This window comes from Homo sapiens, chromosome 7, assembly GCF_000001405.40.
Source record: "Homo sapiens chromosome 7, GRCh38.p14 Primary Assembly".
Classification (NCBI taxonomy): Eukaryota; Metazoa; Chordata; class Mammalia; order Primates; family Hominidae; genus Homo; species Homo sapiens.
Genome location: NC_000007.14, coordinates 45,605,697 through 45,620,001, shown reverse-complemented (window position 1 = coordinate 45,620,001; position 14,305 = coordinate 45,605,697). Strand labels below are relative to the sequence as shown.

The following is a 14,305-nucleotide window of genomic DNA, read 5'->3' as shown; positions in this document are numbered from 1 at the left end:
CCATTGACATAAAAATTGTGTTTACTCATGTGTATATGTGGTGTACAATTTGATGTTTTGATAAACCTACATAGGTTGAAATAATTGACACAATCAAGGTAATTAAAATAGCCATTACTTCTGCATAGCTACGTGTATGTGAGCAAATTTCAAACATACAATACAGTATGGTTAAATATTGTGACCATGCCGCATGTTAGATCTCCAGAACTTATTCATGCTGCCTAACTAAAATTTTGTATTCTTTTACCAACATCACCCCATTTTCCTCTGCCTCCTTTCCCTAGCAACCACCATTCTACTTTGCTGCTATGAATTTGACTATTTTACTTCCACATACAAATGAGATCATGCAGATATTTCTCTTACTTAGGTTACAGTAATGTCCTCCAGCTCCATACATATTGTTGAAAATGGCAAGATTTCCTTCTTTTCTGTTACGTATATGTGTGTGTGTATGTTGTATAAATATTTGTATATATGCACATATATATATTAACTGACACATAATTGTACATACTTATGGGTTATGGTGTGACACTTCAATATATGTATACAACATGCAGTTATCAAATCAGGGTGATTAGGATATCCAACACCTCCAATTTTTATTATTTCTTTGTGTTGGTAACATTCAAATATCGTCTCTTCTACGTACTTGAAAATTGCAATAAATTATTGTTTACTATAGTCACCCTACATGCTATAGAACAATAGAACTTATTTCTCCTATCTACCTGTAATTTTGTACTCATTAACCAATCTCTCCCTGTGGCTTCCTTCCTCCTACTCTTCCCAGCCTCTAGTAACCACTATTCCACTGCCTACGTCTAAGAGATCAACTATTTTAGCTTCCATATAAAAGTGAGACTATGCAGTATTTATCTTTCAATGACTGGCTTATTTCACTTAATATAACATCCCCTGGGAACACCCATGTTGACACAAATGACAGAATTTCATTTTTTAATGCCTGAATAGTATTCCATCCTGTAAATATACCACATTCTCTCTATCCATTCATCTGCTGTTGGACACTTAGGATGATTCCACATCTAGGTTACTGTGAATAGTGCTGCAATAAACAGGGAGAGCACATATCTCTTTGACATACTGGTTTATTTCCCTTTGGATATATACCCAGTACTGGGATTGCTGGATCATATGATAGTTCTATTTTTAGCTTTTTGAGAAACTTCCACTCTATTTTCCATAATGGCTGTACTAATTTACATTCCCACCAACTGGTACAAGAGATCTCTTTTTTCTGCATCCGCATCAGTATTTGCTTTTTTGTCTTTTTGATAATAGCCAATCTAACTGGGGTGAGATGATTCTCATTGTGGTTTGGATTTGCATTCCCATGATGATTAGTGATGCTGACCATTTTATCATATACTTGTTGGCCATTTGCATGTCTTCTTTTGAGAAATGCCTATTCAGATGCTTTGCCATTTTAAAATCAGATTATTTGTTTTCTTGCTATTGAGTTCCTTGTATATTCTGGATATTAATCCCTTGTCAAATGAATAGTTTACAAATGTTTTATCCTATCCTTCTGTTGTCTATTCACTCTGTTGATTGTTTCCTTTGTTGTGCAGAAATTTTTCAGTTTGATATAATCCCATTTCTCTAGTTTTTGTCTTATTGCCTGTGCTTTTGAGGTCTTAGCCATAAAACATCTGCCCAGACCAATATCCAGAAGTATTTCCACTATGTTTTCTTCCAGAAATTTCATAGTCTGGGTCTTACATTTATGTCTGATCCATTTTGAGTTTATTTTTGTGTATGGTAAGAGATAGGGATCTAGTTTCATTTTCTGCATATGCATATCCAGTTTTCCCAGCACCATTTATTGAAGAGATTGTCTTTTCCCCAATGTATGTTCTTGGCACCTTTGTCAAAAATCAGTTGGCTAAAATTACATGGATTTACTTCTGGGTTCTCTATTCTGTTCTATTGGTCTATATGTCTGTTTTTATACCAGTACCATGCTGTTTTAGTTAATATAGCTTGGTAGTATATCTTGAAGCCAGGTAATGTAATGCCTCCAGCTTTCTTCTTTTTGCTCAAGATTGCTTTGGCTATTCAGGGTCTTCTGTAGTAACACATGAATTTTGGAATTTTTTTTCTATTTTTGTGAAGAACATCACTGATACTTTGATAGAGATTGCACTGAATCTGTAGATCACTTTGGGTATTACAGTCATTTTAGTAACATTCTTCCAATCCATGAATGTGAAATGTCTTTCCATTTTTATGTGTCCTTGTCAATATCTTTCATCATTGTTTTATAGTTTTTATTGTAGAAATCTTTTACATCCTTGGTTAAATTTATTTTTTGTAGCTATTGTAATTGGCATTGCTTTCTAGACTTCTTTTTCAGCTAGTACATTATTAGTGTATGGGAATGCTACTGATTTTCGTACATTGATTTCCTATTCTCCAACTTGATTGAATTCATTTATCAAATTCTAAGAGTTTGGTCCTGCCAAGGGGAAAGTGGGGTCAGCCCCAGCAGTCACAGCCTTGGCCAGCAGATGGGGTAAACACATCCCTCTCTCATCCCAGTCCCACCTATCACAGCTGACCCTTCAGACCTAGGCAGTCCATGCCTAGCCTGCAACTCGGCCCCAGGCCATACAAGCCCGCACCCAACTCAAGACCGAGACTCCATAGCAATTCACATCCTGCTTAAGCCCCAGGAGTGGTGCCTGCTTCCCAGTGCCAGTGGCTACAGACCACACCATGATTGCTTCTCAGTTACAGCTGCAGGAGCCCACCCCTGCTTTGCTCCAGTTCCACAAGCAAATAGCCCACATTTCCTGAATGCCTAGGACTGGCACTGCTGGATCCCAAAACAATGCACACTCTGCTAAAAGCTAGGATTTAAAAAATGGCATCTTGCTGTAGCCACATAGGTTGCAGAATCGGTGTGGGACCCAGGGCAAGTTCCCTCCCTGGAGCAGTTCCTGCTTACAGCCTCCCAGCTGCTTTCTAAGATGGATTCAAAACTTGGGAGGATCAAGGTGCCCTACCATCACCTGGATCTCCAGTGGGAAAGTGGGCTGCAGAAAGACTCTCACTTGCCCCTCCTGTGGGTTGCCTGTTTTCCTTCTGCTTCCTAGTTTTCCCCTTTCCATTTAGGATGCCTTTTTTTGTTGCTGTTCTTTCTTCTCTAATTGCTCTGGGCAGGACTTCCAGTACTATGTTGAACAGAAGTGGTGAGGGTGGATATCATTGTCTTGTTCCTGATTTTAGAGGGAAGGCTTTTTGTTTTTCATCATTGAGTATGATCATAGCTGTGGGCTTGTCATATACATAGCTTTTATTTTGTTGAGGGGATTTTTTATCCTAATTTGTTGAGAATTTTTATCACGAAAGGGTGTCAAATTTTGTCAAATATTTTTCTGCATCTATTGAGATGATCACATGATTTGTATTCCGTATTCTCTTAACATGTTGTTATCACACTAATTGATTTTTGCATGTTGAACTATCCTTGCATTCCAGGGATAAATCTCAATTGATCATGGTGTATGAGGCATTTAATGTGATCCTGGATGCATTTGATAGTATCTTGCTGAGGAAATCTGAATCTATATTTATCAGGGATATTTGCCCATAATTTCTTTTTTTGTAGTGTTCTTGTTTGCCTTTAGTATCAGGACAATGCTGGCTTCATAGTTTCAAAGTGTTCCCTCCTCTTCAATTTTGGAGACTTGGAGAAGGACTGCCATTAATTCTTTAAATGTTTGGTAGAATTTACCAGTGAAACCATCTGGGCCTGGACTTTTCGTTGTTGGGTTTTGATAACTGATTCAATCTCCATACTATATATAGGTCTGTTCAAACTTTCTACTTCTTAATGACTTAGTCTTGGTTGGTTGTATGTTTCTTGACATTTATCAAAATTTCCTGGGTTACACAGTTTGCTGGTGTTCACAGTAGTCTCTTATGATCCTTTTTCATTTTTGTGGCCTCAGTTATAATATCTCTTCTTTCATTTACAATTTTATTTGAGTCTTCTCTTTTTTTATTGGTCTAGCTAAGAACTTGTCAAAATCTTATTTAATGTTTCACAAAGCAACTCTTGGTTTTGTAGATTTTTTAATATTGTTTTTTATTTTCTATTTCATTTATTTCTGCTCTCATCTCTGTTATTTCCTTCATTCTAATAACTTTGGGCTTAATATGTTCTTTTTTGTGGCTTCTTGAGGTGCAAAGTTAATATTGTTAATTTGAGATCTTCTTTCTTTTTTAATGTAAGCACTTATTGCTATGAACTTCCCTCTTATTACTGCTTCTGTTCCATCCCATAAGTTTGGGTATGTTGTGTTTTCATTTTCCTTTGTCTGAAGGTATTTTCAGGTTTTTTTGTTTGTTTGTTTTGTTTTGTTGAGATAGGGTCTTTCTCTGTCACCCAGGCTGCTGGAGTAGAGTGGTGTGCTCATAGCTCACTGCAGCCTCAACCTCCTGGGCACAAGCAATCCTCCCACTTCAGCCTCCTGAGTAGCTGAGACTACAGGTGCATGCCACCATGCCTGGCTAACTTAAAAATTTTCTTTTAGAGATGAGGTCTTACTATGTTGTCTAGGCTAGTCTTGAAATCCTGACCTAAAGCAAACCTCCCACCCCGGCCTCCCAAAGTGCTGGGCTTACAGGTGTCAGCCACCATGCCCAGCCTGGAGGTATTTTCTAATTTCCTTTTTTATTTCTTCTTTGACCCCATAATTGTTCAAGAATGTGTTTTTAATTTCAACACATTTATGAATTTTTCAGTTTTCTTTCTGCCATTAATTTCTAATTTCATCCCTCTGTGATCAGAAAAGATACCTGATATAATTCTTGAAATTGTAAGGACTTGTTCTGTGACTTAACATATGACCTTTCCTAGAGAAAGATCCATGTGCACTTGAGAAGAATGTGTATTCTGCTTTTTGAGTTTTGTAATGTCCGCTATATGTCTGTTAGGTCTATTTAGTCTATAGTGTTATTAAAATCCTCTGCTTTCTTTTTGATCTTGTCTGGATGCTCTGTCTGTTATCAAAAATAGACTACTGAAGTCGCCTATTATTATTGTTTTGTGGTCTATTTCTTTTTACAGTTCTGTCAATGCTTGTTTTATATACTTAGGTGCTTTTATGCTGAATACATATATATTTACAATTATTTTATCTTCCTGGGAGCTGACCCTTTTATCATAATAAAGACTTCTTGTCTCTTCTGGCAGTTTTTGACTTAAAGTCCCTTTTTTCTGATACAAGCACAGCCATCTTTGCTCTATTTGGGGTCTCATTGGTATGAGCTATCTCCTTCCATCCTTTCACTGTCCATTTATGTACATCCTTAAATAGACAGCATATAGTTAGGCTTGGTTTTGGTTTTGTTTTTATCCACTCAGCCATGCTATGTGTTTTGACTGGGGAGTTTAATCCATCTACACTTTAAGTACTGATAGGGAATGGCTTACTATTGCAACTTTGTTAAATGTATTCTATTAGTCTCGGAGTTCTTTATTTGTGTTTTCCTCTCTTTCTGCATTCCTTTGTGTTATGTTAATGTTTTTGCTTTGATGTGCTTTGATTCCTTTTTCTTTCTCCTTTGTGTAGTTTCTATAGCCATTTTTTTTCTTTGTGGTTACCTCAGTGATTATAAAAACTATAACTGTCCATTTTGAGCTGATAACAACTTAAGTTCAATTACATACAGAAACTCTACACTTTAACTTCTTCATAATTTATTTTATGTTGTCACAGTTTCTATTTATTCATATAGTATATATTTTAACATACTTTCCAGTTATTTATTTTTAATACTTTTGTTTTCTTAACTTTTATGCTAGAATAAAAAGTGATTTATGCACTACAATTACAGTAATACAGTATTTTGTATTTGTTGATGTATAAAACTTTACCAATAAGTATCGTATTTTCTTATGCTATTGTGTTGTTGTTTTGCATCCTTTCATTTCAATGTAAGAACTCCTTTTTGCCTTGCTTGTAAGGCAGGTTTAGTCATGAACTTCCTCAGCTTTTAATTGTCTGGGAAGGTCTTTATTCCTTCATGTTTTTATGGAGACTTTTGCTAGGCATAGTATTCTTGCTCAGCAGTTATTTTCTTTCAGCACTTTAAACATATCATCCCACTCCCTTCTGGCCTGCAAGGTTTCTGCTGGAAAATCCATTATCCTACGCTGGTTCTGTTGTATGTGACAAATCACTTTTTCCTTTCTGTTTTCAAAATTCTCCCTTTGTCCTTGGCTTTTGAGAATTTGGTTAAATGTATCTAGGTGTGAATTTTGGGGTATTCATCTTATTTGGTGTCATCTCAGTTTCTTGTAGCTGGATGTCCATTTCTTTAACCAGATTTGGGAAATTTTCATTGTGTGTATACATATTCATATTTAATGATATATTTTTACATCATATATGTAATATATGATGAAAATATATATATAATGTGTATGTGTTGTGTGTACAATCTGGTTCTGTTGCTCACTCTTCTTCTGTAACTCCCATAAGGTGTATATTGGTCCACTAATGATTTCCCACAATTTTCTCAAGCTTTCTTCAGTCTTTTCCATTCCTTTTTCCTTTTGCCCCTCTATCAGAATTATTTCCAGTGACTGCAGTGACTTGTCTTCCAGTTCACTGATCTTTTATTCTGCTTGATCTAGTCTTCTGTTGAATCCTTCTAGTGAATTTTTCAGTTCAGTAATTGTGGTCTTCAGCTCCATGCTCTCTGGCACTTGTTAATATTTTCTATTTCTTTGTTGAAATTCTCACTTTGTTCATGCATTATTCTTTTGTCCTCCATGAGCATCTTTATGGGAGTTATTTTAAATTGTCTATCAGGTAAATTATATAACTCTGTTTCATTAGTCAGTTTCCGTATATTTATCTCATTCCTTTGTTTGGAACATCTTTGCCTGGTTCTTAACTTTCCTTAACTCTCTGTGTTGGTGTCTGAGATTTAGACAAAGCAGGTACCTCTCCCAATCTTCATGGACCGGTCCTGTACAGGAGGAGACTCTCACCAATCAGCCACAGATTCTGGTGCTTTACCAACCCTTTCTCTCCTGAGGGAAAAGCAGGCAGCTGTTATTTTTGTCTGTTCATTCTGTGCTGGGAAGGGGGTGAGTAGGGGGAAGTTATGGTATCTATCACCCCAGACTACCACCTCTGTTCTCTCCTGGCCAGACTGTACAAGACCTATCAAGAGATCCAGGGGAGAGATAGAGGCTTGTTCTTCAGGCAGCCCCATAAAAGTTGGGGCAGTGGTCACACTGACTCTTTCTCTCCCCAGAGAGAAGCTTAGAGCTGAGATTCTTCATCAGTTCACTCTATGCTGAGCAGGGGAAAGGGTCAGTGATGTCTGCCAGCTCTAGCTGTCAAAAGGCTCTTGACTTTTGATGCCTTTCCTGCAGTATGGAGAGGCTCTGGCTCCCCTCGAGGTATTCCAGGGATTATTCTGGTGGTCTGTTCTTCTCATCAGGGGACTGGGTCAGTGTGTCATGTCCTTATTTTGTAACAAGAGGCAGTGAGTGAAATGACAAAAGTCAAGGCAGATATTAGTGTCAGCTAATCCCAGTTCCTGTCCCAGCCTGCCACTCACTGGCCAGGGAGTCCTGCATACCTTTCACTTTGTTGAACCTAAATTTCCTCATCTATAAAATGGAGGTGACAATGCCAGCAGTTCACAGAAGCATGATGATATTAAACAGAACCAAGTATCTAGCAGAGAGGTTCTCAGCATAAATTCTGCAGTCATGCTGGGCTCAAATGCTGGCTCTTCAGCTACTTTCCACCCACTTGGGCCTTCACCCCACATTGCTTAAGCATCCTCCTCTGCAGAAGGAGGACAACACTGGTCCTTACTTAATAGCATGACAATGGGCAGTGAACACGTGTGCTCAGAACAGTGACTGCTGAGCTCTCAACCAGACAGCAATTAGCCATACTGGCTTGGCACACAAGGATGACTGACTCTGATGGACCCACAAACCTCAACTCATTTCCAATGAATGAGTGTTGGTTTGCAGGGACCCAGTCTGTGGTGCTCAACATAAGAAGGACTGAGAGTTTCTATTGACCTTTTGTGTCTTCAGAGGCCAAATGGGCAGTGAGGCCTGACACCAACATCCAGAAGAACCAGCAAAAAACAGCAGAAAAGGAAAAGTGTTTCAGGTCCCTCAAACACCATCTCCTACCTGAGTGATATTTATGTAAAGCATTAATCCCAAATAGGCAACACTCAAACCATTCTAAGCACACTATACTTGCATGAAAAGTATTTTTAAGTGGAATCCACAATTTAATAAAATAAATACTTTTAAACAGAATCTTTAAAAAAAAAAAAAAACAAGCAAACCTCAGAGTGTCTAAAGCAAGTTGGTTCACTTTGAAGGTTTAGTTTCCTCACCTATAAAATGGGAACAATCCCTTCCTCCTAGGGCTGTCATGAAATGAACAGAGTAAGACAGAAGAGCACACATATACCAGACCCAGCAACAACTAGCATAATGCTCAGCTACTATTCTGACATGGCAAATTCTGAGCCCAAAATGTCACTGCTCAAAGCCAGGTTTAGGGACAGATTTTTTACCCTCTCCAGTCAACAGAGGAAGTGTAAGAATACTGAAATAAGAAATTGGAAAGATAACTGTAACATGCATCACCCAAGAAGCCAAGAGCCCCCTACACGTAGGACCTGTTTCCCTGCTAGGCAGATGTCCACCTGAACCTCCTGACCACATCTGCCCTCTCCTCCCTTCACAACTGAGACCCTTTGTCCACACTCCCCCTATCTCCCCACCTGCACCATCACCTCACCTCCTCCATCACCTCTTCACTTCCATCATCAGTTTACTCACCTCCACCATCACATCCACCATCACCTCCCCACCTCCACCATCACCCCCACACCTCCACTATCACCTCCTCACTTCCATCATCACTTCTCCAACTTTGCCATCACCTCCACACCTCCACCACCACCTCCACACTTCCACTATCACCCCCCACCTCCACCATCACCTCTACACCTCCACTATCACCTCCTCACCTCCAAAATCACCTCCATACTTCCATTATCACCTCCCCACCTCCACCATCACCTTCCCACCTCCACCATCATCTCCACAACTCCAATATCGCCTCCACACCTCCACTATCACCTCCATACCTCCACCATCACCTCCCCACCTCCACCATCACCCCCACACCTCCACTATCACCTCTACACCTCCATCATCACCTCCCCACCTCCACTATCCCCTCCTCACCTCCACCATCACCTCCACTATCACCTCCTCGCCTCCACCTATCACCTTCTCACTTCCATCATCACTTCCCCACCTTCACCATTACCTCCACACCCCCATTCTTTCCCCACCTCCATCCATCCCTTCCCCACTTCTGTCATCACCTCCCCACCTTCACCATTATCTCCACACCTCAGCTTCCCAGGCTCCCCGCTGTGCCGGGTCAGCACCAGCCCTACCTCACATTGTCGTGCCTCTGGATGTAAATCTTGTGGAAAATCCTCTCAGGGGGCTTCAGGAAGTCCTCCTTCATCTCCATGGCAACGTTCCGGGGCAGGAGGCTCATGAGGAGCCGCTCCTGGACAGAAGAGAAGGGCCCGGGTTAGACAGCAGGGCCCCCTCCCTCCACTCCTCCTCACCTCACCCTCCCCAGTAAGGGCGCCGGGCCCCTGAGCCTGGGTAGGCCCACGTCCAGGGCTGGACTGCCACTGAACAAGCAACTCCCTCCAGGAGCACTAGCCAGGGCTGGCACAGCCTCCCCAACACCCAAGCCTCCCTGCGGCGCTCCTCATGCTACTCCCTGGACACACTCCTGAGTCTCGGCCTGTGCTTCAGTGTACAGCAGGGTTACAGCTGTGAAAACACTGCTGTCTCCACCAGGGCCCCAACCTGGCTTCTCTCCCTCCCCCTACTGCTCCAACAATATCCCAGAAAGAGTCTTTCACATTGGCTTAAAAAAACAAGCTGTCCTCCTGAGGTACCCACAGAGTCCTCTTGTTCTTACACAGATAGGCGGGCTACGGGACCATGTGGCATTCTTTCTTGGTCTTTGTCTTCTTACTTCTCCCTTAGCTGTGTAGGTCAAGCATTTTCTTTTTTCCCCCAAGAGAAAAGAATAAATGTTTGGATTTTTCAAAATAAACTATGCCATCCTGGAGAGTCCTTTCCCCTTCCTAGACCTCAGTTTCCTTGTCTGGACTGAGGGAGTAAGTAGGACTTTGATTCTCATCCTCCAGTTGGATGTTCCCTGACCCCAACCCCAGCTGGCCCTTGACCTGTTGGGCACACCCCTACGTCTGAGAGACCATGTTCCAGAAATGTGGTGTGAGGGTCCCCGACTCATCCCTCAGTCCCTCCCATGCCCCTCCCACTCTGCTTTGAAAAGAAAAGCAAAAGAGCAGAGTTTAAATCCCACGTAGAATCAGGTAGAACATCCCACTGACAAGCGCGGAAACAGGCTGAAGAGGGGAAGAAGCTCCATCCCTCCCACCGCGCCCTCTGGCTCCAAGCCCCTCCGCAGCGGCCTGTCGTGCTCAGTGCCAGCAGCATTCCCTCCCTCCAAGGAGCCTTAGCAGTAGTCACGCGGGCACCCAGCACTGAGATGCTTCCGCCTCCTCTCCATCCCCAGCCACGCAAGCCTGCCGGGCACAGCCCTGGGAGTCCCTCCTGCACAGGCTACATCCCTGACCCAGGAGCGGCCTCCATCCTGTGTGACTTTCTCGGAAGGAGCACAGGTGCCCAGACACCTTCACGTTCAGGAGCCATAGGAGCAGCCACAGTGAAAATAGCTACCCACATCCCAAAATCCCAGATGATCTCTGGGAAGTGGCCATGAGGGCCTCACCCCTCTGTTCCACATGGCAGATAGCATTCCATGAGCACAGCCCATTTTACAATGGGAGAACAAATTTGGCACACTTGAAGTTTCCCCTGGTAAGTTACTTCCACATAAACTTCAGAGAAGGAAGACCAGGTCCAGCTCTGTCTGATGCCAAGTGAGGCTAAGTCTATGCCTCAGCTGCCTGAGTCCTGGCACCGGAGTCTGTGGCCTGGAGGTGTGTCCTAAACAAGGCCAAGGTCTACACTGAGAACCCACCCCCACCAAGGGCCCCACTGCAGTCCCCACCCGAGCCCTCACTATAGCCCCCAAGTAGCTCCCATGAAGCTCTGCCGCAGCCCCCATGTGGCCTCCACCTTGGCACCCACTTTCTGAGGAATTGAAAAATGCAGGATACTGAACTCCAAGGACCACAAAAATGTGACAGGTGATGGGGGAGCATCCAGAGCCACAAATGCTGATCCCAGGAAGGAAAGAAAGACTGCTGGGAAGCCCCTGGCACACATCCTGACTTCCCGCACACGGCCCCCAGCATGGGAGACTGGAGCTCACGTGGACAACTCAGCCGTGGCACAGGGTGCTGCAAGAACCAGCTGTGGCAGAGTCACCCAGCTATCAGCTGGCTGTCCCCAGTAGCCCTGCTCCACTGCTGGCCTGACAAGAGAGACCCTTATTTTCATTGGGGTTCTTGGCTACCTGGAATAAAGACCATACTTTCCAGCCTCCCATGCAGCTAGATGTGGCCAGGGAGACATGAGTTGAAAGGTCATGTGGAAGCTTTGGAAATGTTCCTTAAAAACAGCTTGTTCTAGCAAAAACCAAATAACCTTCATTAAAAACTGGGCAAAGGACATGAACAGTCACTTCTCAAAAGAAGACATACAAGGAGCCAACAAACATGAAAAAATGCTCATCATCACTAATCATTAGAGAAATGCAAATCAAAACCACCATGAGATACCATCTCACAGAAGTCAGAATGGCTACCATTAAAAAGTCAAAAAACAACAGATGCTGGTGAGGCCGTGGAGAAAAGGGAACATTTGGTGGGAATACACTGCTGGTGGGAAACGTAAATTAGTTCAGCCACTGTGGAAAGTAATTTGGAGATTTCACAAAGAACTTAAAACAGCACTGCCATCAAATCCGCAATCCCATTACTGGGTACATATCCAAAAGAAAATAAATCATTCTACCAAAAAGACACATACATGTGTATGTACATCGCAGCACTATTTACAATAAAAGACATGAAATCAACACAGGTGCCCATCAATGGTGGGCTGGATAAAGAAAATGTGGTACATATACACCATGGAATACTATGCAGCCATAAAAAAGAATGAAATGATGTCCTTTACAGCAACATGGATGCAGCTGGAGGCCACTGAAGTAACACAGAAACAGAAAACCAAATACCACATGTTCTCACTTACGAGTGGAAGCTAAACATTGGATACATATAGACATAAATATGGGAAGAACAGACACTGGGGACTCCAAAAAGGAGGAGAGAGGGACGGAGGGAGGCAAAGGTTGAAAACTAGCTACTGGGTACTATGCTTTAGTACCCGGGTTATGGGATCAATTGTACCTCAAACCTGAGTATCACACAGTATATCAACGTAACAAACCTGCACATGTACCCTCAATCTAAAATGAAGGTTAAAATTTAAAAAACAAAACAGCTTGTCCCTCTTCCCTTCTTCTCCTGCTGTTGTTGGGAACACAGTCATAACAGCCAGATCTCCACCTACCATCTTGGTTTAGGAGGATGAAGGCAACACACTAGGGACACAGGTGGCGAGCTAGATGGAGACAGCTGAGGGTTTCATGGATCACATCTGCCGCACCACCATAAAGTGTCTACCCTGGAATGTATACGTAAGACAAAAAGAGCTATGTTACTTCTGTAAGCCACTGTCACACGACGTTCCTAAGGACAACTGCATTTCTAACCAAGGGCTCAGCATTAGCTCTGTCCATTGGATTAGCAGCAGCATCTAAGCCAATGCAAGTTAATAACCACAGACTAAAGTACAAAACCTTTCCCACAGGAAGCAAGCTGCCATCTGATAAGACTCAGCATTCATTTCTGATTAAAAAAAAAAAAAGACGAAGTAGCTCATTCACATTATAAAGATTCCACGTGAAATTCACATCCAATCTCAAAACCCTCAAGGCCCAAGCAGCAGTAAACATTAGTGTCAAGAACAGATCATATGTCAATAAGCTCTAGCCAACAAAATAATTTAAATAGCCAGAAATCAAAAGTATAAAAGCTAATATGAATATGGATCATACAAAGTACCTCAGTGTCCTATAAAGGCTATATAAAAATCTTAACGAATTTATCTTGATTATCAAAATGTGACTTAAATGTACTCTTAAAAAAAACTAGATTTTCAGTGACAATTGTGAAGACTCTACTTCTGGGAAGATGGAGAAGTATTTTTCCCTATTCCTCCTGCTGAACACAGCTGAAAGTCCTGGATGTTACACATCAAACAACCAAGACTAAAAGTCAGAGGGAAGAAGGCAGAAATCTTGAAACCAAGAAATGACATAAAGGTGAGTTCCTGAGGTTTCTTTAGCCTCATATATGCCAGACTGAGTGCTTGAGAAGTGGGCAAGTCAGCAATACCAATAGGCACAGACCAAAGGAAAACACAACAAAAGCAGCTCTCTTCAGCCAAAGGCCCAGGACTGGGCAACCTCACAAGAAGAAAACTTCCAGACAATAACTTACCTACTCCAGGCCAGAGACACTGAAAACTCTGTGCCCCAACCCCACCCACACCAGCAAAGGCCAAGTAGAGAGGCCAGACCTCCACCCCCACCCCAGGCTGTGAAGGGGCCCCCAATCAACCCACCCACTCCCAGAGTGAGCCAAGCCTTCCCTCTCCACCTGCTGGTAACAAGCATCCCCCAACTCTGCAGAGTCAGTGGGAACCAAGGGGATCTCATTCTCCTCCCCCAAGCCAGGTACTATTAGCGGGGACCATGAGGGACTAGAACTCTCACTCCTGCCCAGCAGTAAGAAGGAGCCCTCCCCACATGGTGTCAACAGAGGCCCAGTGTGGAGCCTAAACTTCTAACCCCACCTGGCAGTAAAGAGACAGCAACCCCCCTTTCCCAACCAGAGTCATGTCACAGAAAATCATCAAAAACAAAATGTCCAAATAATATACAGAGGCTCATACACAACATTCCAAATGCCTAGGTTCCAGTGAACCATCACTCATCATACCAAGAACTAGAACAAGCTCATCAAGTGAACAAAGACAACCAACACACATCAATACCAAGACAGAGATGCCAGAATAACCAACAAAGACTGTAAAGCAACCATCATAAGAATGACTAAATAAAGAACTACGAATGCACTTTAGAAACATAGATATAAAAGTCTTTTACAAGAT

The 14,305-nt window shown here is 42.3% G+C and overlaps 1 protein-coding gene across 4 annotated transcripts in view, besides 1 other annotated feature; it reads right to left on the bottom strand.

The window, feature by feature from the left end:
• ADCY1 (adenylate cyclase 1) overlaps window positions 1-14,305 on the bottom strand; it is a 148,977-nt gene that overhangs the window by 103,115 nt on the left and 31,557 nt on the right. For all 4 annotated transcript variants that reach the window (NM_001281768.2, NM_021116.4, XM_005249584.4 and 1 more), the window contains one exon: window positions 9,505-9,623. In NM_001281768.2, coding sequence (NP_001268697.1) covers window positions 9,505-9,623 — 119 coding nt within the window. The remainder of the gene's footprint in view (window positions 1-9,504; window positions 9,624-14,305) is intronic.
• Window positions 10,190-11,165: an enhancer, noted in NCBI's record as "H3K4me1 hESC enhancer chr7:45648436-45649411 (GRCh37/hg19 assembly coordinates)". NCBI's record gives its function as "activates a minimal SCP1, AML or CMV promoter by ChIP-STARR-seq in naive H9 embryonic stem cells {active_cell/tissue: H9 hESC(naive)}" and the evidence as "EXISTENCE:reporter gene assay evidence [ECO:0000049][PMID:30033119]".